The sequence below is a fragment of the Homo sapiens genome, chromosome 8 (genome assembly GCF_000001405.40).
Source record: "Homo sapiens chromosome 8, GRCh38.p14 Primary Assembly".
In the NCBI taxonomy this organism is placed as follows: Eukaryota; Metazoa; Chordata; class Mammalia; order Primates; family Hominidae; genus Homo; species Homo sapiens.
Genome location: NC_000008.11, coordinates 19,477,367 through 19,504,134, shown reverse-complemented (window position 1 = coordinate 19,504,134; position 26,768 = coordinate 19,477,367). Strand labels below are relative to the sequence as shown.

General features: G+C 42.3%; 1 protein-coding gene across 61 annotated transcripts in view; it reads left to right on the top strand.

The window, feature by feature from the left end:
- CSGALNACT1 (chondroitin sulfate N-acetylgalactosaminyltransferase 1) overlaps nucleotides 1-26,768 on the top strand; it is a 353,748-nt gene that overhangs the window by 253,774 nt on the left and 73,206 nt on the right. The window contains exon 1 of one of the 61 annotated variants that reach the window (XM_011544585.4): nucleotides 6,832-9,096. The exons of the other annotated variants lie outside the window; for them this stretch is intronic. The gene's annotated coding sequence lies outside the window, so the exon portion shown is untranslated. Of the gene's footprint in view, nucleotides 1-6,831; nucleotides 9,097-26,768 lie in introns of those variants that run through there. 61 annotated transcript variants of the gene reach the window in all.

Genomic DNA, 26,768 nt, shown 5'->3' with positions numbered 1-26,768 from the left:
ACTGCACTCCAGCCTGGGTGACAGAGAGAGACTCCGTCTCAAAAAATAATAATAATTCATCTTGCCCAGAAATATAGCTGTGTCCACCTAACACCACTCACTGCTTTGGTTATACAACCACTGTCTCATGGGCCTACAGGCAAAACTGACTCTCTTCCATCAAATCAAAAAGCCTCCTGCTGCTGTTCATGCCTGTGTTCTTTGGACACTTTCTTCTTTTATGCTTTTTTAGACTTGATAAGTGAACCATAAGTTGATGCAATTTTAGTGTATCATCAGTTTTATGTGCCTAGAGCCAGGTAAAGAAATCTTTTACAAGATCATCTTTGGTGTGAGATTAAAAAAAAAAAAAAACTCATTCATATGAAACAGTAAAAATGTCTAGAATGTTCAGGAGCTAACCTGTATAAGCACATGGTAAGCACACAGTAAGAGTTCAAAATTAGAATCATGATAATGCAACATCACATTTTATAGTACTTTACAGTTTATAAAGCATTTCCACATGTATTAGTTTACTAGCCGACCCTCAGGGAAAATCATTAAACATCATTAAAAAAAAAAATCCTGGTTGTCACTCTCCCTGGGGTGTGCTACATAGAGCTGCCCACATACAGAGCAGTTTCAAAAGAACTTGATTGCAAATCAGTGTCTGCAATTTGGAATGTGTGACCTTGTGATGTTCAATCTGCATTCATATTTGAAATCTATCTGCTATTCTATGCACAGTAGTTTAACACGTAAGGCCTATCTTTCTCAATCAGCAGTGACACCAGCCTCTTGCCCCTCAGTATATTTGCTCTGAGGCTTGGCTGACCTTCTTTTAGAGACACATTATAGCTACTCAGTATTGATTTCGTGGGCAGCACACAGCTTTTTAAAGGCAGACAGACCCACATGTGTCTTCCATATTTGGTGAAAGTCTAGTCAACTGTTTTCGTTGATGAGTAAATAAAGGCAAATACTTTAAATATATTTATAGAGATTGAACTATGATGAGCAGTTTATTTCATTTTGAAAAATATTATCAATACCACAAGATTGTGGAGGCAATCTTTGATAGTCACAGGAAGCAGAGCCTTAGGAAAGATTCTACTAGTCAGAGGAAGCTGCAGGTGTGATAGAATTAAGTGCAGTATAAGGGGCCAGCTTTGAGAATAGTGATGTTTCAGAACAAAGTGGGATTCCTGGCACTACAAGAATTCTATCATCAACTGGGTGACCATTTGACCAGGTGGTTATAAATGATGATCCTAGCTTCAGAGAGGTGATTGGACTGAATTACATTTGGGGACCTTTTCAATCCTGGTTCACAATTCTTTGATCCACACCTAGTTAAGGAGAAAGAAGGGAATGGAAAGGTCTGGTTTGAGATTTGTGTTCTGTAATGAGCTACAGCAAGTGACAGGATTTTATAAGGGTGAAATTTATCTTAAAAATAACTTCTTTGGGTTCCTAACCTTAGAGTGATTTGAGGTTTTGGGTTTCAGTAATCCATGGTTGAGGCAATTTCTCAAAATCCATGGGAAAAGTTGGTTAGAAACAGGAGTTCTCCACACTTTGAGAGTTCCAAACGGAGAAGAAATTTGGTGAACCATGTAGTAGTATAACAAAGATGGGGATTCTTTGTATTTAAAAAATAACAAGAAAAGTTCAAGGCATGCTTGCAGATGATCCTAGTTATGTAACACTTCAGGCTAATTGTGAGAGAAGTGGCATGATCACGCAAGCTTGAGAAGGTATGATTTTGACTAAGACCCTTAGGCTCCTTGAGACTCAGTTTCCTAATCCACCAACAAGAGACTGAACATATATGTTCTCTGTCGCCCTTCCCAGCCCAGCCTTCTGGTCTCTCTTGTCTGCAAAATACAAAGCTTTTCTCCATAGCTTTGCCAAGCAACCATCTCTCAGAGATGCTCTGCCATCCAGCCTGCCGGGTGACCCAGGCAGGACAAGCCACCTCCCCTTTGGGATCCTCTTCTATAAAAGGAAGCAATCAGATATGTTACTTATAAGGTCTGGTCTGTCTGTGGCCACTTTCTACAGTTCTGCGAAGCTTGCAGAGGGAAAATATCAGACAGATGTCTAATTTATCTATATTGATTTCATTATTATCTATCCTCAAAACACAGAGGAAGTGATTTTTTGTCTCTCTTTTCCCTTTCCCCAGATGTTCCATTGGCACTGATTTTTGTGTTGGATTCTTACGTAATCGCAGTAATTTTTTACAACCATCTGGGAAGAGAAGTGAGAGTAGAGATGGAATCAAATCCTGTGCTTCACTGTTTGTCTCAAGTACACAGAAAATCCCTCTTTATGTTGTTTAGTTATTCCTTCAGGATGGGATATACAAACTAATCCTGAGATCTAAGTGGCACATATTTTGGCTCTGATTTCCTGTTTTTAAATAGATCCCTTGGACATAAGTTTGACATCATCCCATCAAACAAATTAGCTTTCCGAACTCTCTTTCACAATCCAAACATCTGATAATGTGACCCCTATGTGAGGCATTTGTGTCTACCATTTCCATGGGTTTGCTCTTCTGTCACCAGCCTGTGTGGCTCATCCTCCTCCAGCCTCTGCAGGGTTAGTAGTGTGGTGAGAGTGGGTCAGATGCAAAAGGCTTGATTTTGAGATGAGATGGAACCTAAGCTATGTTCCACAGAAAAGTGAAGGCTTTGAGGGTGCTGTGGTTTGAATGTGTCCCCTCCAAAGTTCAGATGTTGCCAACGTGATAGCATTAAGTGTTGGGGCCTTTAAAAGATGATTATTAGGCCATGAGGGCTCCTCTGTCATATATATAAGGGATTAAGGCCCATGTAAGAGAGGTTCTGTGTAGCATTTGCTAGCTTGCCCTTATTCTTTTTTTTTTTTTTTTTTTTTTTGAGACGGAGTCTCGCTTTGTCACACAGGCTGCAGGCTGATTCTATCTCAGCTCACTTCAACCTCTGTCTCCCAGTTTCGGGGGATTCTCCTGCCTCAGCCTCCTTAGCAGGTGGGACTACAGGCACGTGCCACTATGCTTGGTTAATTTTTGTATTTTTAGTAGAGATGGGCTTTCCCCATGTTGGCCAGGCTGGTCTCGAACTCCTGACCTCAAGTGATCGGCCCATCTCAGCCTCCCAAAGTGCTGGGATTACAGGCGTGAGCCACCGTGCCCGGCCTCTGCCCTTATGCCTTTTATCCTGGGAGGACACTGCATTCCTCTCCTCTGGAGGATACAGCCCTTACCAGACAACTGAACCTGCCTGGGCCTTGATCTTGGACTTCCCGGCCTCCGTAATTGTGAGAAAATAAATTTCTGTTCTTTGTAAATAACCCAGCCCCAGGTAGTTTATAGCAGCACACAATGGACTAAGAGGGCACCTTGAGATACGTTTTAAAGCAAAGACACAGGGAGATAGCTATAAACACACATTAGCAGGTTGTACAGTCAATGCCAACCTCCTGTACTCTTCAACAAACACCTCACGGGGATAGTGAGTTTTTTACTTCACTTGTCGGTGTATCACTAAGTAGCCTGTAAGGAATGCTCTGTGACCACTTTGCTAAAGCTTCTCTGGATGAGTCAAATAGAATTTGAGGTCCTGCATGTTTGGTGAGCAATATGCTGGGGATGTTAGCGGACAGGAAATGGGTCCTTATGTCAGTGTGCCATTTCAGTGATAGCAACTTTGTGACTTGTGGTGGAAATCATAAGACAGCCTTTCAGGTGCATTCTGGGCATTTGAGAGGTATGTGGACATCTTGGTGCAGAAATAAGGAAGAGTGGGGATTCTCCTTAGTGGTGGGTCACACTTGTACTTGGGGTGTAGTGGGAGGAGACTCACAGGCAGGACAGCAAAAGGCCATCAGGGTGTGAGTTGGGCTTGGGAACTCTGAGCCAGAATCCCCAGGGAAGCAAGGGTGGCAGAACCGGGGTCCTTCTGACTACTGTCACCCCACTGTGTTCTGGAACAACCCAGTGGTTTATTCTTCAGTGTGGAGTAGGCCTGTGTGATAGAAGGTTCCTCTCTCACCAGGCCCCTCTATCCTTTTACTGCTTTCAAATATCTCCATGCGTTTGCTGATGCTTTAAGTCCCTATAAGGAAGGATAAATGCTTTTCATTCCAAAATTTGAGATAAGAGACTTAAAAGCAAATACATGGCTTGAGGCTGTACTTTGTAGAATGAATCCCTCCTTGTGGTGATGGTGAGAAAAGAGTGGCCCAGTCTTGGATTTCTAGCAACTGCCGGGAATCCAGTACCCAGGCACTCCATCAGGATCCTGCAACCTGAAGAGCCCCATGCTAGAATTAATGTTCATGTGTCTCAGAATTGACATTCTTAATCATGTTTAAGGGGCCCCACATTTTCATTTTACACTGGGCCCTGCAAACTGTGTAGCTGGTCCTACCTCCGAGGTGGAGGGGACAGAAGGGAGAGGTCAAGGAAAAGGAACATGGAATTATGAGTCTCACAGTACATTCCTGATAACTTTGATGAGGACCAGCTCTTTTGACCATGGACTGGGGCAGATGGAGCCTCTGCACAGAGCATTTTGTTGCAATTGCAGAAGCTGGCAAATCAGGCCTTGTGTTGTGGTGATTTTGCTGTCAATTGTATTATCCTTATTCAAAACAGTTTAGTTCCCAGGGAAAAAAACGTTATTTGTTTGTTTTTATTATTTATTTGTTTTTGGGTGGAAGGTTGCACTCATTCACCATACATTATGTGAGTGCTCACTATGTTCCAAGAACTGTGTTAGGCCCCAGACACACAAAGCTGAGTGAGGCTCAGTCCTTATTTCAAGAATTTTGCGGTCTGGTGGTAGATGCAGACACTTTAAAAGACAGTTATGACAGCATATGGTAAATGCCATGATAGAGATAAGCCTTGGAGATTTTGTGACTGTAATAAAGGGGCATCTACGCAAGCCCAGAGTATAGGACAGGCTTCCTAGAAGATATGGGTCGGTCAGAGGATTTGGGGATTTTTAATTTTAATTTTGTTCTGTTTGTTTGTTTGTTTGTTTTTGAGACAGGGTCTCACTCTGTTGCTCAGGCTGGAGTGCAGTGGCACGATCATGGCTCATTGTAGCCTCAACTTCCTGGGCTCAAGTGATTCCTCCACCTCGGCTTTTGGAGCAGCTGGGCTACAGGTGTGTACCACCATGTCCAGCCAATTTTTTAAACCTTTTGATAGAGATGGGGTCTCACTGTATTTCGCAGGCTGGTCTTGAGCTCCTGGCCTCAAGTGATCCTCCCACCTTGGCATCCCAAAGCATTGAGATTACAGGCATAAGCCACTGCATCTGGCCCTTTTTGTTTCCTTAATAGAGATATCACTGTTCTTCCTGGCTTATGTTTCCTATTAAGAATATGTTATGAGAGAAAATTTGTGATGTTATGGGAGGTCAAAGATGAAGGAACTTGAGTTTATCTGGAGTGGGCAGGAAAGGCTCAGGGGAAAGAGGGGTTCTGGCTGCGTTGTACACAAATTGGAAGGACATGTGTTCTGTGTGAGTTGAAGCTGCTGCAGGCTTAGGAGGGGAGATGGAAAGACTCAGGGGAAAGAGGGGTTCTGGCTGGGTTGTACACAAATTGGAAGGACATGTGTTCTCCGTGAGTTGAAGCTGCTGCAGGCTTAGGAGGGGAGATGGGCAGGCAAAGAGCGCCCTGCACATGAATGGTGCCTCCCCATTAGTATGGCAGGCAGTGCTGCTCAGCCTCTCCCATCTCACCCGTGTTGGGTAGGAGGCATTGTTGGGAAAGGATGGAAGTTTTTTAATCAGCCTCCCAGTTTTTCATCAGTTACGGTTGTGGATGTGGTCCTGCACCGAGGCTTAATCAACATGTGTGTATGGATACTGGTCATGTGTGCAGAATGTCCCCAGCTGTTTTGGGGCTAGAAAAGGAGGAGAAAGCCAGGTCTCAGGCTTGAAAGACCTGGTAACCTGCCTCAGGGAGGAGACAGAACTCTGAATTGTGAACCCACAATTCTGAGACAGGTCTCAGTTAATTTAGAAAGTTTATTTTGTCACGGTCGTGGATACGTGCCCGTTGACACAGCCTGAGGAGGTTCTGATGACATATGCCCAAGGTGGTCAGGGCACAGTTTGGCTTTATACATTTTAGGGAGACATGAGACATCAATCAACATATGTAGGATGAACATTGGTTCGGTCTGGAAAGACAGGACAACTCAAAGCAAAGGTGGTAAGACTCAAAGCGGGGAGGGGGCTTCCCGGTCTTAGGTATGTAAGGGACAAATGGCTGTATTCTTTTGAGTTTCTGATTAGCCTCTCCAAAGTAGGCAATCAGATATGCATTTATCTCAGGGAGCAGAGGGGTGACTTTGAATACATTAGGGAGGCAGGTTGGTCCTGAGCAGTTCACAGTTTGACTTTTCTCTTTAGCTTAGTAATTTGGAGGCCCGAGGATTTATTTTCCTTTCACAGAATGATCCAGGATTTTTAGGTTGCTCTTACTGTATTTTTTATTTCTAGCATTTCCATGTGATTCTTACTTCCATCTCTATGCAGAAGTGACCCATATAATTGTTGTCCACTTTTCCATTAGAGCCTTTAACATATTATTCATGGTTGTTTTAAATTCTCCGTCAGATAGCTCCAGCATCTGTATCATACCTGAGTCTGGTTCTCATGATTGCTTTGTGTCTTGATGTGGTCGGGGGAGGTAGGAGATGAGTAGTCAGGAGGGGGCTGGGTTTGAGGTTTGTTGTTGCTGTAGTTACCACAGACTTCAAATCCCTTTTGAGATACCTTGTGTTTGGGGTAGAGGTTGTTTTCCCTGAGTATTGTCTGTTCAGCCCTGCAATTGAGGTCTACTCACTGCTCTGTATTTCAGAGAAGGTCTCTGTACTTCTCTCCTCTCTCACTCCCAGCAATATTCTGCTGTTTCTTGTTATTCACAGCTTACCAGCTTAACTGTCTGTGCAGGGCAGGAGGGAAGTGGGGTTGTCTCTGATTTTTCTGATAAAATCTCAGTCCTAGGCAGGTACCACGTCACTGGGTCTTAGGGTATTTTCCTGTCCCCACTCCGCCTTCCTCAGCTGCACTTAGTTTTCACCAGTTCCCTAAGGTGAGAATATTTGTTGATCTTTCCCCACCAATAAGGTTTTTGCTCCATAGAGGGGAGGCGGGAGGGGGAGGGTCCGGGAAGAGTGTTTTGCCCCTCCCAGGGAGCTCCTGTCCCCTCCCGCCGGCTGCACAGCATGGTCGGTGTCCTAAGGTTCTTTCTGATCATTTTTATTAGCACCCATTGGGGTTCCTGGAGAAAGAGCTTGCGAAAGGAAGCTCCACTTCTTGGAACCACAAAGGGCTTCACTGCCCTACTCATCTGCACTGAGCCTTGCTTAGGTCGTTGATTTCTTTTTACCATTAGCTGAGTGTATCTGCCCCACCAAGCAAGGGCTCATATCTCTTTTCTCCCTGCCAGCACCTGTGACTCCTCAGATTCTGAGCCAGCTGTTTGCTCCGTGACTTCACCTCTCTACTAAGTTCCAAAAAAGTCTTGGATTCTAAGGTTATGTGGTTCTTTTTCGTGGTAAGGGATGCTTCTTTCAGCTCATTATATCTTGGAGCAGAAACAGAAGTCTGAAACTCCTTTATAAAATCATACTTTAAAACCTATTGATTAGTTTGTCTACTTACACTGCTCTACAAATGAATAACGTCTTCCCACAACCTCACAACCTAGTTCCAACCATCAAGCAGAGTCCCATAGCTTAAAAGAACTGAGGTGTGTTGTTTTTACTCATGAGTGGGAATGTTGTGGTAACACCCCAAATCTGGAAGTCCCTTATTAGAAGATTTACTTTTGAATATGAAAGCCTCGGATCCCGTGATCTGATCTGTGTTCTATGGTGGTGATTTAAAGAAACGGCGTTCTTTTTAAAAACCCTATCTTTTACCAGATACATATTCTTTGAGTTTTAATGTTATGAGTAGTGTTGGGCCCTTGGATTTCTTCTCCCAAATGCCATATTATCTTAAAAAGTAAGGCTGTTCTTATTGTGGAAATTTGTAGTTAACAAGCATACTGCTCCAAATTGGTGGTGTTGAATCAGCCCCCTCTTCCTCATTGCCGGAATACGGGGTCATTATTTTCCGAACTTTCTTCCTTTCACCTTAGTCAGCCTAGAACCCCTTTTATCCCATTCCAGTTTTGACACAAGTCCTATGTTAGCTGGAGGAAGGGAGTTAAAATGGGTATTGGTTGGAGAGGCAAAGGTAATATCTTGTTCCTTCCAGAACTGTCTACCTTTTCCCTATATTTCCCTTCCTCCTGCAGGCCTGGAGACACAGCACTGGCTGAAGTGTCCCCCGCTTCTCTCTTTATCATCACCTCACACAAACCCTTGGTTCAGAAATAAAGCCAAGACTTTAAACCCTGAGGAGGCTACACATTCTCTTCCGAATCTTGTGCTTCTTTTTCTGGCAGACTTCCTTTGCCAGTCAGTAGCTTCTGCTTCCTTTGTTTCTCTGCACCTATCCTTGCCATCTGGAGCTTGTGCCCTAAGGACCCATCAGTAGTGACTTAGAGCTCCCTCCTCTCCAGCCTCCTCCCTGTCTTGTGGGGAGGGATAGTCCCTCTCTCACTGATCCCTGCGAGGTGTCATTCTGACTTTCAAAGTTAGAACTGTGGATGGATTTCACAGTTACATCCCTGGATCAATGCATACAGCCCTATAAATGCCATACTGCAGGCATACGATGGGTTAAAGAGGTTTTTATGGGCTGGTCTGAGGACTTCACCACAACAGACAATATTGTTTCTGTGCTTTCTGAGTAACTTACAAATGAATATTGGAACAGGACCCATTTGTAAATAGAGGACTGCCTCCCTGTATTTCCTGGCATTGTAAATTTCACTGTCAGAAGCTTCCAATGTTTCTCTACACCGTAAGTCAGAATCAATCTGATTTACCTAAAGAAGGGGAACATGTGGATGGCCCTGATGAGGTTATTTTGATTGCAAGCAAGAGATAGGGTCTAGGACGCATTCTTCCTCCCTCTCCACCTGTTTCCATTGAGATTGCTTATCAGAAGTCAACATCCGTGGAGACATTTGGGCTTGTTGTTCTTCGGAGTGAGTATCTGCTGAGCCTTTGCCTAGATGACTTTATTCCCATTACATCTCATATAGGAGCTGAGGTGGGAGAGGGTTAAACACAAGAAGAGGGGCTCCATCATGCAAATAGCTGCCTAAATCCTACCCGACCCTCCTGCCCCCCGCCCCCCGCCCATTTTCTGTTTTTACTGTGAACATAGGGTGGAGGGAAGAAATGGACTTTCTAACGTTGGAGTGTTCCATCTGGTTTCTCAATGCTATGGAAAATGCAGCTGTCAGAGGTGACTTCATCTGAAGGTTTCCATAGGCAGGGTGCTGATTGTAAAGAACAGAACCAGAGGAAATTAAATTGCAGGAGGAGGTACTCAGGTTAAGTGCAACTCAAAACTTTGTTAAGTGTAGGAATAGATGTGTAATGGGACAGAATGAGATTTGTGCTTCGAGATTGTTAAAGACTTGGATATTCAGTGTTCTTTGTTCATTGGATGTGACTTAGGCATTCTCAGTGCTGGAGATGGACAGAGTTAGACAATATAGTCCCTGCCTCTCACAAGCCCCAGAGCCCAAATGAAGGGGCACCCATGTACACAGGTAAGGACAGCACAGGGTCATGTATTAAACAAGTGTACAGAACAGAGAGAATTGGTCATGGAGTGGAATGATCAGGAAGGGCATCACAGGGAAGGCTACTCTTGAGCATGTTTTGCAAGATGTGTAGAATTGGTGTAGGCCAAAGATGTGTGTGTGTTGTGGAGGAGGGGAGTGTTTTGGGAGCAGGAGTAACTAACATGGGCAAAACATGGAGGTATGCACAAGCTGGTTGATCTGGAGATCCATAGGTAACCAGTTAGTGCTGGCGCATCAAGGAGGAACATAATAGGTTTAGATAGAAGAAGAGGGCATGGCAAGGTGATAAACCTGAAGAATTAAGCAGGGCCAAGATTACTATGCATTTTGTGTGCTACCTAAGTGTAGGTTATTCAATGGTTTGTTGACCATTTTAAATGTCGTGGCTAGATTTGTTTTCTAGCTGGGTCACTCGGATAGCAGGATAGAGGATTACATTGGAGGCAGGTTTGGAAAATAGTTTGGCAGTTTCTCAAAATGTTAAACACAGAGTAGCCATGTGACCTGCAGTTCCACTCCTAGATGTGTGTGTGTGTGTGTGTGTGTGTGTGTGTGTGTATAAACACACATACGTATATATACTGATGAGAAATGAAAACACACATTAACTTAAAAACTCCTATGTGAATATTCATGGTAGCTTTGTTCATAATAGCCAAAAAGTGGAAACAACCCAAATGTCCATCAGTGGATGGATCAATAAACAGAATGTGGAATTGCATGCAATAGAAGATTATTTGGCCATAGAAAGAAATGAATTACTGATAACATGCTGCAGCATAAATGGTCCTTGAGAAAATTACATCAAGTTAAAAACCAGATGTCAAAGACTACATGTCCTATAATTCCATGTCTGTGAAATGTCCAGCATAGGCAAATCAGCAGAGACAGAGAATAGACGAGTGTTTGCCTAGGGTTCTGGGGGTTGGAGGAGTTGGTGGAGATGGGGAGTGACTGTGAATACTTAGTTTCTTTTGGAGAAGACGCAATAGTCTCTAAAAATAGATTGTGGTGATGGTTGCACAAACCTGGTAACACATACAAAAATTAGCTTGTCTGCTTTAAAGGGGTGAATTGTGTGACGTGAATTTTAACTCAATAAATAAATAACACAATCTCTGTCCCCCTCCCCCAAAAAAGAGTGGAAACTGGGAGACTAATGAAAAGGCTTTAAAAATAGTTGAGGTGACCGAAGAGCTCCTGAGTGGAAGCTGTTGCTGTGAAATAGAAGGTTGGGGGAGGCTGAATGTGTTCAGGAGAGAGTAATTCTTTAGCTTTAATTTAGTATTTTGGGCTCTTCCATAGACATTTCACAAAAGTGTTTAATAAAGAATCTGTTGCAAACATATTTACAGATGTTTTTTTTTTTTTTCAAAAAAAGAATTTTAGGCAGCTATCGAATTTATTGATGTCGATTCTCTTTCTCACTTATGTCAGTGCTTGATCGTAACCTTGTCATGGAAGACACAAATATGCCATACACTGGACAGGCGAGGCAGGGCACAAACTAAAAGAAAGAAGACTTAAATCTTATTTTTACCATAAGATTAGTTTAACAGACAAAACTATGAAAAATCTGTTCATATTATTCCTGATCATAGTCAACAGATTACTATAAAGATGAATTTCCAGTTTGGGAATAATGTTTTAAATACGATATCAGTAGTTTGAGGCTAAACATTCAAGCCTAATAACTGGCAGCATTATGCCATTGCTAGGCTGGTGGCTACGGGCCAGTGGCGTGGACCAGCAAGACCAGAGCATGGCTGGGCTTCCAGCTGGTGTTGAATGGAACATGCCCTTATCCTGAAAGCCTTTAGGGCAAAATCTAAGTCAGACTGGGGCATCGGACATGACACAGGTGAGGCTTGGCCCAGGTTGGCAGGCTAGCTCCAGCAGGGTAGATGGCACAGAGTTTAAGAGGACGTGAATTGATGTTTGAAGTTCATACTAGACATTAGTAAAAATGCAGAAAAATGCCTTCTGAATCAGGAGATCAGGAGTAGCGTGCAGGAAACTGAAGAGGTAGATGAAATTTACCATCCTGGGATAATTACTCAACAAACATTCACCAAATGTCTACTACATCCCAGGCATAGCCCAGCAGTATGCTGGTTGATTTCATCGTGAGGGCTTCAACCAAATGTCTACTATGTCCCAGGCATAGCCTAGCAGTATGCTGGTTGATCTCATTGTGAGGGCTGTGTGCTGTTGACCTTAGATACGTGCTTCTCTGAAAAGAAGAGCCTTCTCGCATATAGTTAGCATTTTGTTACTTAAATCCTGTAAATTTATAGACATTTTCCAAAGGATTCTCACTAGTTACCAATGTTCCCATGAGTGGCATTGTAAACACATTTTTCATTTTCAAGTTCATGGCTGAACCTACTTAAGTTATGAATATGTTTATGGTCAATAAATAGAGCTTATTAATAGCACAGAGTGTACTTTGGCCTTCCATCCATGTCTAAAGAAATCATTAATCTCTGTAACCTCTACCCACATACTAATTTGCACTGCAATGCTTGAAAAATTGCTAATTCTGTGGACTCATGTAAAGTGTGTGGAATGTAAATGTATGTCTTAGTACCCTTGAATTATGTACCGAATTTATTAGAAATCAGTTGTGTCGTTTGCAAATTACTGCACAACATCGAAACACACATGAAATGCTAAGAGTGAAATGTGAAAAGACCTTGCTTTGTTTGGTTCAAGATGCATATGAGCATGACATAAATTCTTGCTGAAACTTAAACCCAAGCAAACATCATGAAAGATACATGAGCAAAAGATGAACGGATCACAAAAGAGATACAGATATCTGATATACAAATAAAAAACTGTTTACTTTTTCTTACCTAATAAAGTTTAAAACAAATGTAAAATACGAATTTTCACAATTTTATAAATGATGACACATATTGTTAGGAGCAGGTGAAATGAAAATTTATATTTAGTATTAAGAGCATAAACTGTTTCTATCATTCTGTAAAGTAATTTGTATCAAGAACGTTCAAAATATTCATAGCTTTTTCCAGTATTTTCCTTTCTGAAAGCTGATTCTCAGAAATGTCCATGAATATTTATATCATAGAAGTATTTATAATAATGAAAAATGAGAAGCAATTAGTTGTCTAACAATAGGAGACTGGTAAAATTTTGCGGTATCGTTATAGTAGAATATTGTACGGTAAACAAAAATCATTTATTCAGTAAATATTAACATAGGACAAAGGCTATCATTTTAATTGTGAAAATAATTATAAAGTTTTTATCTAGCTATGTAAAGAAAAAAGATCGAGGGGATGAAAACACTGTAGCAAAGCATTGGTTTTTTTTTTTTTCCTGAGTGGTAGAATTATGAGTGATGCTGTGTTTTCCAGATACTTTCTTTGGAAATTCTGTTGCTGTTATACTTTGCAATAAGATATGGCAGTGCTTGAATCATGTTGACATGACTAGAAAATAAATTAGCATTTGATTCTAAACGTGACAGAATAGGGTAATTGAAACAGTCCCAGGTTTCGAGGTGGTAGTTTCAGGGGACTTCCTTCCTGCTGCCTGGGAATCACCTGGAGAATCCAGAAAGAGAAAAATAAAATTACAGGTAACTTCTAGGTCTCAATCAGTCTTTACCCTAAATACCAAGGCTGGAGCAGGCAGCCTGTAAAGGTGAGGGTTTTTTGGGGAAGGAGATGATGGGCCCTGTGGAAGAAGTTACAGCAAAGCCTCATTGTGTCCTGGGCTCCACTTCTCCTGCATTGTGATGGAGACTACAGGTGTCCAAGCTGGAGAGAACCAATCAGCATATAGCACTAAGCTGGTGTGGATTTATCAGTTGGCTCTGCAGAAAAGGTGGTTTCGCATGCTCCTGGCCTCTAAGCAAGAGTTTGGTGGAACCAGAGGTTCTGGTGTTCTCCGTCAGAGTCCCTTTCCTGGTGGCATCTTATGATGCTTTCTTTTTTCCCCTTCCCAGTACTCCCAGGAGATGAATAGGAGTTTTCAAGGACAAGAGGAAAAAGAACAAAACACCTCTTCTTCCTTCCCTTGATGAAAGACCCTACTGTCAAAAGTGCCTTTTGTTTTTTTAAACCTGTCTCTCTCTTTTCCTCTCTTTCCCAAAATACTGTTTTGCAGTCAGTCTGTGAAAACCAGTGTGAGTCGCAGAAGCAGCTTCTCGTGTGCAGCCTTCCATCTGTAGCTTGGTCTGTATTATGTGCTGTATTTTTAGAATGCCTAAATTAGTGATGTTCCATGCGCTATTTAAAGAGGAGCTGGGAAGTCGGGGGAAGAGCAGGGCTATTGATCAGGATTGGCTTCTGAATGTTGCTGGCTGTTATACTCGAATCCCAGAGTTAGAAATATTTGGGGGCCATCAAAAGAACAGATGGTCCAGGAAGGCAGCTGGCCCATGTGGTAATTAGTCTATGAAGGCAATTGGTCATTTTCTGAGCTTGGAGCAGAATTTTGCTTTTCTTGGTACCATTCAAGGTGTAGAAGGAGACTTTGGTTAGAACACACAGGGCTAGAAAATGTGTGTAAACATACCATTCCAGCTGATAGATGTCAGCTCAGCTTGGCTTCCTAACAAAAGGTTCCTAACAAGAAAGTTGAAGGAGAGATTTTTGGTTTTAATTTAAAATTGGAGACACACAGCTATGTTTAACAGGGCTAAGGAAAGATGTCATCGTGAAGACAGCCAGTGAAAAGACAATATGGGACCCTCGATGGTGCAAAGATTCCTTATGCTCCATTTTCATACCATTTGTGTCCTGTGATTGTCGATTAATTCATCAGGGTCTCCCCCTAGACTTAAATGAGGGACCCTTTCTCATACCACTTTGTAGCCCTAATATTAAGCACGTTGCCTGGTACATAAACGTTGATTAAATGTTTGTTGAATGAATAAATGAAATCACAGAGGGGATAGGAAGAAGACCACAGGTTGAGGGATTGGCCTCAGAAGGAAGAAGGAAAATGCTTCCTTTGAGACCAGAGGAAAGGATGGCTCTGGCGAGTGATGAGTAAATTTTTGTTTGATTTTTTTCCTTTGAGAGAGAGACTAAGCATTTAAAGTCTAACAATATGACAATAATCACCATAATTGGTGGTTGATAAACATTGGATAGTGATGATTTCCTATGACTATTTCATTCTTCCCTATCTGTATTTTGATTTTACTCTGTAAAATAGAAGGGCAATTTATTTGTAGGTTTGGTATTTCTGTTGTAATAATCATACTGATTTTCTCACTGGATTCACTTTTCATCTTCTCTCTCTTCTAGGGACACCCTGTGTCTGACTAGGGACTCACACTATGCTCTTTGCAATTAACCCTTCTTAGGTGCCCTGGTCTCCCCATCTCTCATCTCCATTTTCTACCTGTAGGAGATACATCTTTTGCCCTTCAAATGGGGGCCGTTGTTTCTTCTTGGACTTATTTGCGCATAATAATAACTGCATATTATTCATTTTCAAGGATCCTGAGTTTATATAAAATGAAAACCCTGTATTCTGCTGTGACTCATGAGCAGGGAAAATTGATGAGACAATCCCATCCCGATGCTGTTGTCTTCTCTTCACTGTTTAACTGATTGTGTCAGGTATACAGGGTTCTTAGCTTCTCTTTTCCTGAGTTTATTTCTCTGTGAAACTGACATTATTAATAATCTACCCTGTCGGGTTGTTATAAACTATATATGGGTCTTTACACATGTCATTATAGCAGTGCCTGGCCCAATAAAATGTTAGTAATTATTACTGCTTTTGTTATTTGTTGGTGGAAATTTGCGGAGAGCATTTTTATACCCCTAGAAATTGTTTACACTCCTTCCCTGGCTCTTCATACCCTTCTGAATAGCAGTTGATTTTCTCTGAGATACCGTTAAGTAGTCATGGGTTCATTTCCCTTTATGGAATCATTTCCAAAACACTGCTTAATATAAACAAAATTATAAAAGTAAACATTGTTCAGTGAAGAAGGGCTCTTTACAAAGTTAGAATTCTGATCTAACTATATATATATATATATATATATATATATATATATATATATATATGTATATATAAATATATATAATGAGATGGAGTCTCGCTCTGTTGCTCAGACTGGAGTGCAGTGGCATGAGCTCAGCTCACTGCAATCTCTGCCTGCCAGATTCAAGCGATTCTCCTGCCTCAGCCTCCGGAGTAACTGGGATTATAGGTGCACACCACCACACCTGCCTAATTTTTGTATTTTCAATAGAGATGGAGTTTCACTATTTTGGCCAGGCTGGTCTCGAGCTCCTGACCTTAGGTGATCCACCCACCTCGTCCTCCCAAAGTGCTGGGATTACAGGCATGAGCCACTGAGCCCAGCCCCCTGTACTAATACTATGATTATCAGCAGTCATATTGCAAACCCCCATAGTGTATCACTGTGTGCTTACAGTATGTGAGGTGAGAGGGTGTCTCTTGGGAGGTGTATTATATGAAGAATTTTGGATCTAGGGTTAATATCAATATCACTTCACAGTTTTTTTAGCATATCTTGAAGTGAGAATTTTCATTCTCAGTTCATTCTTTGGGCTGCTGTGTTTCCATTCTAAACCCCCAAGCTGCCTTTGACTAGAGAGCTCAATGATTTCATGATACCTACAGCCCTTTTCTAATTAGAAATCCTATTAGAAGATGGATGGCATGGGAAGGATATCTCAGTCTGCATATGGAAACACCCTTTTTTGTGGAAAACTACCATGAATAGTTGACTTGTACCAAGCACCTTAGCTGAAGGTGCAGGCGAGTTTGTAAGAGAGGTGGCTTTTCGGCTGTTGGAGTTTATCAACAGTTGAGTCTTTCAAAGTCTGACATTTTTCTTCTCCAGAATCTTATCCATTTTTCTTATTGACTTTCTGTCCATTATGTTAATAGCGATTAGATTCTAGTTTGTCAGGCTCAGAGCTCATGTGTCTCGCCCTTTGCAGTAGGTGTGGGCTCCACCATCGTGTTGACATGTGGGCCGTGTCCTGGAACCTCCCTGTCATGGACACTGGGCATCCTGTGCTCTTTGAATCTGGGGTTGGTTTGACTAAGCATGAACAGCAGTAAGAGAAAGACGACATTTTATTTCCAGACACCATCGCTGCTGTTGGGAGGTGAAATGTTCTCATTTGGGTGTTGGTGGGAGTGAAATTGTTTGTCTTTTTAAAGCAATGCTGTGTTCTAGGATATTAACATGACATATGAGTCTCTGGAGCAGAATGTGAGTAAATGTTAAAGCAAAAGCTTTTGGGGATAAAATTTAAGCTCTTTAGAGTTGTCAGCTTGAGAAAAAATTGAGGCAATTCTTCAGAAGGGAAGCATTATATAAAAGCATGAGTTGGCATCTGAATGTAGGTTAACTTTCTTCCCCAAAAATAACAGCTAAAGGATTTCTGTTTGCCTTGGCTTCCTAAGAGGACAGGTAGTAAATCCTGCTATCCATTGACACAAGCATGAAAGAGTAGGCAGCCTTTTTGGTTACCTTTTCTTCAAGTGTTGTTGGGCAGCTACTGTGCGCCAGGTACTGTCCCAGGCAATGGGGAGCCAGGAGTGAAAACTGAGACAAAATCTACGTTGCAGGGCTTGTGTTCTAGTTGAGGAGATGATAAACATGAACCTAAGTAAGCAAATTCCATAGCTGAGTAAAGGGGATTCCCTTTAGAGGAACAATCAATGCGTTTAAGGGGGCTGGGGGCTTCAGTGGACGATAATACAATCTGAAATAAGACAGTCAATGTAGGTCTCATTGAGTAGGTGATATTGGAGCAGAAACTTGAAGAGAAAGAGGTGGCCACCCATGCCTATACCTGAAGGAAGAGAGTTTCCAGATGGAAGGAACAGCTAGTGTGCAAGCTCTGGGCAGGAATGCTTCGAGGGGCAGTGTGCAGGGGCAGAGCCAGTGAGGGAGAGAAAAGGAGGAGATGAGGTCTGAGAAGTAGGGGAGGGGCATGTCATGTGAGCCTCATAGACCCGGGTGAGGATTTGGCTTTTACCCTCAGTGAGATGGGAAGACCCAGTTTTAGAAGGGTTTTTCTGGAGGTTGTGTTGAGAATAGACTTGGGGAGGTAGGGCAGAAGCTCAGAGACCACCATTAGGCAGCCATGACAGTTACCAGGCAGCAGGTGAGAGTGGCTGGACCAAGGTGGTAACAAGTGACAACCAAAATGAGTGATTGAGGCTTGTCACCAATCATCAAGGCTCATTAAGCCAGCCTAAAGGCACACCTGGGAAAAACACAAGTCATAGAAGCATCTGTGGCTGTTTTTTTTGTTTTTTTTTTCTCCCAAAGAGACTCTCAGGAGGTTTAGTATTTACATATTTTTCTTAAAACCCTTAAGTGGCAGCTGAGTACGGTGGCTCACGCCTGTAATCCCAGCACTTCGGGAGGCCAAGGTGGGTGGATCACCCAAGGTCAGGAGTTTGAGACCAGCATGATCAACATGGAGAAACCCTGTCTTTACTAAAAATACAAAATTAGCCAGATGTGGTGGCGTGTGCCTGTGATCCCAGCTACTTGGGAAGTTGAGGCAGAAGATTTGCTTGAACCTGGTAGGCAGAGGTTGTGCTGAGCCGAGATCATGCCATTGTACTTCAGCCTGGGCAGCAAGAGTGAAACTCTGTCAAAAAAAAAAAAAAAAAAAAAAAAAAGCAAGCTGAGGTGGCAGTGAGACTTTAGTTAGTGCCCAGTAAATCTATGTTTTACATAAGATAAGGTGAATATTTGAAGTAAAAGGGAATGGAGGAAGCAGATGTCTCTGGGAGGGGTGAAGGAATGATTAATCTCATCTTGTCTTTGTTCTGTACCTAGTAAATAAGCTAGTAGGCTTTCTAAAAGGGCTGGCTGCTGTTTAGCCCTTAGGGAAGAAAGCCTAATAGCTGTTAGGAGCTGTTAACATCAACAGGGGTGTCCTATCTCCTATCCCATTATGCCCCTGAATTCAGCTTCCAGGGTTTCTCTGGGGATCCCTTGGCCAAGACGGGGTCTGTTGAGTGACTTGGGGGCTTAGGATTTTATTTTTATCTCTCACAGTGGAGGGGGTTAGAAGTGCCTAGTCGGAATCTGGACATATTTTGAAGGTAGGAGCAGCATGGTTTACTAATGGATTAACAAGAGAAAGAGAAGAGTCGGGGATGACTTAGTAGATTTCAGCCTGTGCCGAACACACAAGAGTGTGTTGTGATTGACCGAGATGGGAAGACGCTGGATGGGGTATATGTGTGTGTAATTTAAAAATAAATACACTTACAGAAGACACATTCTGGGCAAGTAGATGCTGTGTAACTGATGGTGGCCATCATTGGTTGTATTATATGACTTGGGCTGCCATAACAGGGCATCACAATCTGAAAGCCTGAGACAAGAGAAGTTTATTTTCTCACCCACTGGCAGGCTGGAAGTTCAAGGTGAAAGTGCCAGCAGGTCTGGTTTTTTCGGAGGGCTCTCTCCTTGGCTTGCATAGGACCACCCCCTCTCACTGTGTCCTCAGTGAGGACAGGTCAAAAATGACTCTTCCTTTGTGAGTGCACGTCTCTGGTGTCTCTCCTGTGTGTCCAAATGTCCTCCTTTTATTAGGACACCGGTCAGATTGGATTAGGACCCACCAGAGCAGCCCCATTGTAACTTAATAACTTACTTAAAAGCCCACAAAAGTACTTCTTGGTATTCTCCAAACACAATAACATTCTGAGGTACTAGGGATTAGAGTTTCAACATGTGAATTTTGGGGAGACACACTTCAGCCCACAAATTGGCCAACTTTGGTATCTGGGAATCTGGAGGAATTGCGTGATTACACTGTCCTGCAACCAGGCAACTTGACTCCTGAAATGAGAATGCCAGTAACGTTTCCTTTCTCTTACCTGCTGTCATGTAAGACATGCCTTTGCTTCTCCTTTGCCTTCTGCCGTGATTGTGAGGCCTCCCCAGCCATGTGGAACTGTGAGTGCATTAAACCTCTTTCCTTTATAAATTAAAATAAATAAATATCATTTCTTACTGTAGTCTACCCTTATCCTCGAGTTGTATGTTCCAAGACCCCCAGTGGACACCTGAAACTGAATAGTACCAACCCCTCTTTATACTAAGCTTTCCTCATTCTTCTCATAGATCTTAGCAACTGCAGCATGTGATTTTTTTCTTATTCGGTGGAGAATGTTCATCTTTTTACTTAGAGGAAGCTCTTTATGGCTTCTCTTTGGTGTATCTGAATTGCTATATCACTCCCCTTGTGCTTAGGGGCCATTATTAAGTAAAATAAAAGTGACATGAACATAAGCGCAGTAATACCACAATATTTGATCTGATCACTGTGACAGCTCCTAAGAGACTAATGGGGTGGAGGGAGGGCTGTTTGGGGGATAGTGTCCACTGCCTAGGTATGCAGGACAAAGTGATGATTCACATCCTGGACAGGATGGACTGTTTATTTCTGGAATTTTCCATTTAATATTTTTGGACCTCAATTGACTGCTGGTAACTGAAACCATGAAAAGCAAAATAGTCGGTAAGTGGGGACAGCTATCTGTCAGATTGAGGTATATGTCTATTAAAGGACAATACATTGGAAGAAAGGCTGTTGCTACATATTCACTTAATTTAGTCAATAGTAATTTATTATTTGCCGTCAGACATGGTTGAAACAAAGATGAAGAAATGAGAGTTTCCCAGCTGGCCCTGGGCTGCACAGATGAGTAAACAGATGATCAGTGATGGTGATAAGGTATGGTTTTAGATTACAGAGATTACATAATTGTTGTATGGGGCATGTAGGAAGGAAGGCCATCAGATCCACTCTTGTAGGGTGTGGAAAGGATTGATCCCTGGAGGAAGATATTCTGAGCTAAGTCTAGAGAGATAGAAGGGAACAGGACAGAGAGGAGCAAAAGTAGACTGGGGATGGCCAGTATAGGCTGTGGGGACCAATAGTGGTGGTATGCAGAGCCCTAGGGCAGGGCAGAGCTTGGTGAATTCATAAGGCTAAAATCCATTTTGGCTGGAGCATTGAGTTTGGGGTCAGGGCATGTTGAGATGAAACTTGGGGATATCACTGAGAACCAGACATAATGAAGTGCTTTAACTTCACATGCCTTTGGGCTTTGTCTTAATGAAACCAGGGAGCCATTGAAGGGCTTAAACAGAAGGGTGACATTATTAGAATTATATTTAGAAATATTGCTTTGTCTGCTCTGTTGAGAATGTATTGGAGGGACTCAGCCTAGAGGGACAAAGAGCTGTTGTTGTAATTCCAGGCTGAGACGTTACCAGCTTCATTTGTGGTAGCAGAATTAGGGATAAGAGAAGTGGGTGATTCCAGAGACCCTGAGGGATCAGAACCCATGGGGCTTGGTAATTGATCAGATAATAAATAATAGTAAACATCTATGTGAATGTCACTGTATACTGGATGTGGGATGGAGAGGGAGGTGTGAAGGATGAAGCTCAGCTCATTTAATGCTAATGCCACTCACTGCTCCTCAGAAGAGGAAGAACTAGACCAGGAGAGATGATCAGCTTAGTTGTAGGGGTGACTTTGAGCTGTCTCTGGGACACATAAAGGGAGAGGGCCAAGACAGTTGGAATATGGGTTTGGAGCTCAAAATAAAAATCAAATTTGGAGCTAAGGGGTTAGGACTTATTGATGCAAATTTAAACTGTGGAGATGGATGAGATTTTCCGTAGAAACATTGAGAGTGAAAAGCGATCTGTGATCGGAACTTTGAGGACCACCCACAATTATGTTATAGGCAGAGGAAGGGCACCCGTGATGGAAATTATAAAGGAACAGCCAAAGAGGGAGGCAGAAAGTCAGAAGGATTTGGTAACTCAAAACACAAGGAGAGAAAGCGGCTTTAGATGGAGAGTGTGGGCATTAGCATCGAATATTGAGAAAGGCAGTACGAGATAAGAATTTACAGGATCTATTGGATGTAGCAGAAGAAGTCATTGCTGGCCTGGATTGGGGAGAGAACATCATCAGTGGAGTGGTAGGGGCAGAAATAAGGTTGCCGTGGGACAAGAAAAGGAAAAAGTCCTCTGATGTTGGTTACAGAGCCTAAAACGGCACTGTCCAGCACAGTGCTGCTCCCTGCATGTGCTTATTTTAAACAAAAATTAATTAAAATCATATACAATTAAAAATGTATGTCCTCAATTTCACTAGCCACATTTCAAGTGTACAGTAGCCGTTTGACAAAATGGATTAAGAACATGTCCATTATCACCGAACATTCTGTTTCCCAGCGCTGATCTAGGTGCTCAGCGCTGAAAGAGAGGAAGGAAATGGTAGGAGCGGTAGCTGTGCTGAGCTCTAGTGTGTATACTCAGGAGTAGGGCTGTGTGTGTATTTAATCGGAGTCATGAGCGATTTGATGGAAAGAGCTGATAACGTGAAAGCATCGGTGTGTTTGCCTATGTCCTATTGAGTAGCTGCAGTATATGGAAAAAAAAGCCCCCTGCACTCCTGCCAGCATTTTGAAACCCTTAAATTATTTTGAGTACTTCTAAGTATTCAAAAGTTGCTTCAGTTGAGAAAATACTGTTTTATCTCTGTATCTCCATAAGTTTTAGCTTTGCACATAAGATGGGTTTGATACATGTTTGTTGGCTTAAGTCTGGGTTACTCTGGGATGTGTTCTAGTCCTGTCACCTGTGGTATAATCACAGCAACATGAGCTCAGCACTTTTTTCTATGGCCCGGGTAGAAAAGCCAGAGAGGGAGGCATTGAGGATACAGAAACGACTATGATGTCATTTTGATTATAAAATTTTGACCATAAGGATGTGTGCTTATCTCCAGTTTGGGACTTTGTTTTCACAGGGTGGTTCTAGGGTGTTCTTAAGTGTGTCCCCACTGTGATTTTGAGCTCAAGAGGAGGTTTGGGTAGACTTTGATGAAGATCTTGGGCAGGGTACTTAGCTAAAGACCTGTGATCTTTATATAAAGTCACTCCTGTCCACAGGTGTTTATCGAGCACCTGCTAAGCACCTTCCCATTTGTTAGGCCCTAGGATGTAGTCAAGATTTTTGAATAAGATGTAATTTCTACTCTGAGTTGGGAAAATGAGACGTCGTAGACACATGAAGATTAAAACAGGACCGTGACTAGCAAGGTGCCAACCAGGAGTATGGGGCAGACTATAAGGACAGACACCCAGGGCACAGAGGTCGATGGGCACAAGGCATTCAGGAAATGAGAAGACTGGCACGGTGGCAAAATAAAGTTAGAAAGGAGTAAGATGTGACTGGAAAGATGAAGGATGGTTTTATTAGCCGCACATAAGAACTGGTCATTGTAAAGCTAATGCCTGATTAATTACAGCCTTTAAAACTTGGAAAAAGACTTACACTGTGATATTTCCAGCAGTAGACAACATTTTAGGCACTTGGACGGGCAGATGACCTCATGCAATTGGAACTTGAGAAGTACACAGACCTAGGATCCCTCACTCTCGTAGGAGAGCCAAAACAGCAGGGCACAAGAGGGGAATGAGTCGATATTGCCTGGTGTTGATGCCGGGTGGAAACTTTAGAGTAACTGTTTAGAAAGAAGAAATATTCCTCGTTTTTCCTCCCAGTGTTGTTGGTGTGGCTTCTAATCTTAAAGGCAACTCACTGCTGGAGTGAGCCTGGTAGGGATAGGAAATGAGAAGAGAAATGAGCCCTTGTCTGTAAATACACGTTTTACTTCTTCATTGCTGGACACTCCAGATCACTGAACCTCAGGGAACTAGAAATTCCCAATGATGGGTCAGCAACTATGCTCTTTGCTAGGTTTGTTTAAAATACTCAAAGGAAAAGAAATTGTTCTATTGTAAAGACGCAGGCACCCATATGTTCATTGCAGCACTACTCACAACAGCGAAGACATGGAATCAACCTAAATGCCCATCAACAGTAGACTGGATAAAGAAAATGTGGTATGTACATACCATGGCGTACTATGCAGCCATAAAAAAGCACAAGATCATGTCCTTTGCAGGAACCTGGATGGAGCTGGAGACCACTCCAGCTCTAAGCAAACTAATGCAAAAACAGAAGACCAAATACTGCGTGTTCTCACCAATAAGTGGTAGCTAAATGATGAAAACACATGGACACATAGAGGGCAACAACACACACTGGTGCCTACCTCTGAGGGTGGAGGATGGGAGGAAGGAGAGGACCAGGAAAAATAATAGGTACTAGGCTTAATACTGGGGTGATGAAATAATCTGTACAATAAATTCCTGGGGCAGAAGTTTACCTATATAACAAACCTGCACATGTATCCCTGAACTTCAAATAAAAGCAAAAAATAAAAATAAAATACATGACTTGTTTCCTATTCAGAATTTAAGAAGGAAGGCAACTGAAATATGCATTGTTGTAGTTATTTGTAATTCAAACAAAAGAAAATAAGCTTACCATGTTGAGAACAGTTATTTTAGGGTTCTGTACTCTACAAAGAGGTATCTGTCATCCCAATATTTATATCACACTTGGGTTTTTAATGGAATCCCAGTATACAGGGAAAAGTTCTTTCCTGAAGACAGGCATTAGTGTGATCTACGGAGAGGAATCTTTTTTTTTTTTTTTTTTTCTAAGTTCTTTCCTGAAGACAGGCATTAGTGTGATCTACGGAGAGGAATCTTTTTTTTTTTTTTTTTCTAAGTCAAGAAATACGGCTTTTCCTTCAGGCTCTTGTTAAATCACACAGCTTCTGAAGGAACTTAATGAGGAATCCTAACAGTCGGGGCTTTCTGTGTATCTGCATGAACATCCTTAATTCTGGGTATTTGCCTGGTTAGAACAGCACTTCTTATACCTTTCATGTGGCATCACAATTCCCCCAAGCCTTCAATACTGTAGTTAAAACATAATAAGCATATGAAGGAGAATAAGACAGAACTAATGAGGACCATTAAATAGTATCCAGGTTTGATAATAATAATGAAAGAAAAAGAATAACCACAGCTGTGTCAAATTATTAACACTGATAAAACCAAAGGCCAGCCTGGACTACTGGCCGCCAATGGCTCTTTGAGAATCCTGGTTCTCACCATGGATAGAGTCCTTAATGGACTTTTTCCCATAGTCTATCCAGAGCACAGACTCTCATCCAAAGACAATGGAGTGTGTTTCTTTATAGCTGTGGCCGTTGAGATGTTTTAGTCTGCGTTGGTGACAGCTGTAATGATTCCAGCTTCATATAAGGGAAGAGACGGTGTCCTGGGCCCAGAAGACAACTTTTCCACAAGTTACGCAGATGGCTCCCTGCTCTGAATTGTATTTTCTCCTATTTCTTTCAAGTCTGCTTCATCGCATCATAACAATGCATGTATCATAATAGCAGTCATTAATAAGACCATGTAACCTTTGGTGTTTTAACTTTGCATTCTGTGTCTATAGGATCATCAAATAAGTCACTCTCCAGTCATTCAAGAACTCATCCTGCTTCTCAGTATTTCTTCTGCATGTTGGATGGTGTTTTTCCTACCATCCAAACATTAGCAACCTAAAATGACATGACAAGATCCCTTTAAGGAGGGTAGTGAATGCAGAGGTCTGGAAAGTTCTTGATATCAATGTTGTTTACTTTGTTTCATTTGAATATTGCCCTTCAAGGGATAAGTAGCTTCGTCACATTAGGCTTTGGCAACATTAATGCTTTTTTACTGAAGCAATTTATAGCAGTGGAGCAATTCAGCAGTGGAGAAAGGGGGGGTCATTATTTTTATCATCACTTAACTCCTAGAATTGCTTTGAAGAGGAGCAATATGTTATTAGCGAAGTACCAGTGTCCCATGACTGCCTGTGAATGATGTTACCTCCTTGCAGGAATCACTGGATTATGGAATCATTGAAATCATACTCCCTCAAGTGATACTTTGCAACCTGGGCTGTACGTTAGTTAGTCTCTTGGGGAGTCGAGGCTACACCACAGAATAATTAAATCGGAATCTCTGGGAGTGGGACCCAGACATCAGTACCTTTTTTTTTTTTTTTTTTTTTTTTTGAGACGGAGTCTCGCTCTGTCGCCCAGGCTGGAGTGCAGTGGTGCGATCTCGGCTCACTGCAAGCTCCGCCTCCTGGGTTGAGGCCATTCTCCTGCCTCAGCCTCCCGAGTAGCTGGGACTACAGGTGCCCGCCACCACACCCGGCCAATTTTTTGTATTTTTAGTAGAGACGGGGTTTCACCATGTTAGCCAGGATGGTCTCGATCTCCTGACCTCGTGATCCACCCGCCTTGGCCTCCCAAAGTGCTGAGATTACAGGCGTGAGCCACCGCACCCGGCCCAGACATGAGTATTTTTAAAGCTCCCCAAATGATTCCACTGTGTAACCACAGTTGCACACTGCTGTTTAACGGGAACCACCAGACCTAGAGCTAGAATCACCTGACATCTAATAGTTCTCAAGCTTGTGCCTCTTCAGGAGGTGGGGTCCCTGGAAACTGTGTTACTCTTCATCAAACATCATGAAATATATTTGACTGTCTAACTGGCGCATGGCTTCTTAGTAGTTTGGACGTGTATGGGAGGAACCGAAGTCTTTCTTCCCACACTCCCAAATAGTATTCTAGCTGACATCCATCAAGTGCTTGAAATGTTTTGTGTATTGTTCTAAGTGCTACATATGTATTTCAGTCCTCACAACCACCCTGTGAGGTAGCTATTGTATTACGATCATTCTTATTTTAGAAGTGAAGACATAGATGCAAAGAAAGGTTAAGCACCTTGCCCAAAATGACACAGCTGGGGCTCACACCCGGCTCTAGAGCCTGCCCTTCCTTTTAATTGGGATATGAAGACCATTTAGTTTTAAGATAATTACTAATAAGTTAGAGTTTATGTCTCCCAAGTTAACCAGTTACATAACCAAGGCGCATTTTTATATTAGAGAGTATGCCAAGAAGTTAAATTAAAGATAACTATCAGTGGGTACTTAATCAGGGGTCTTTGTTTATTTGCTTGATTTTATGGCCAAAGTAAGAGTGTGCTATCGTCCGCTGGAAAAGTTTTCTAGGCTGAATTCATTATAGCCGTGCTCAGTTGTGTGGGAT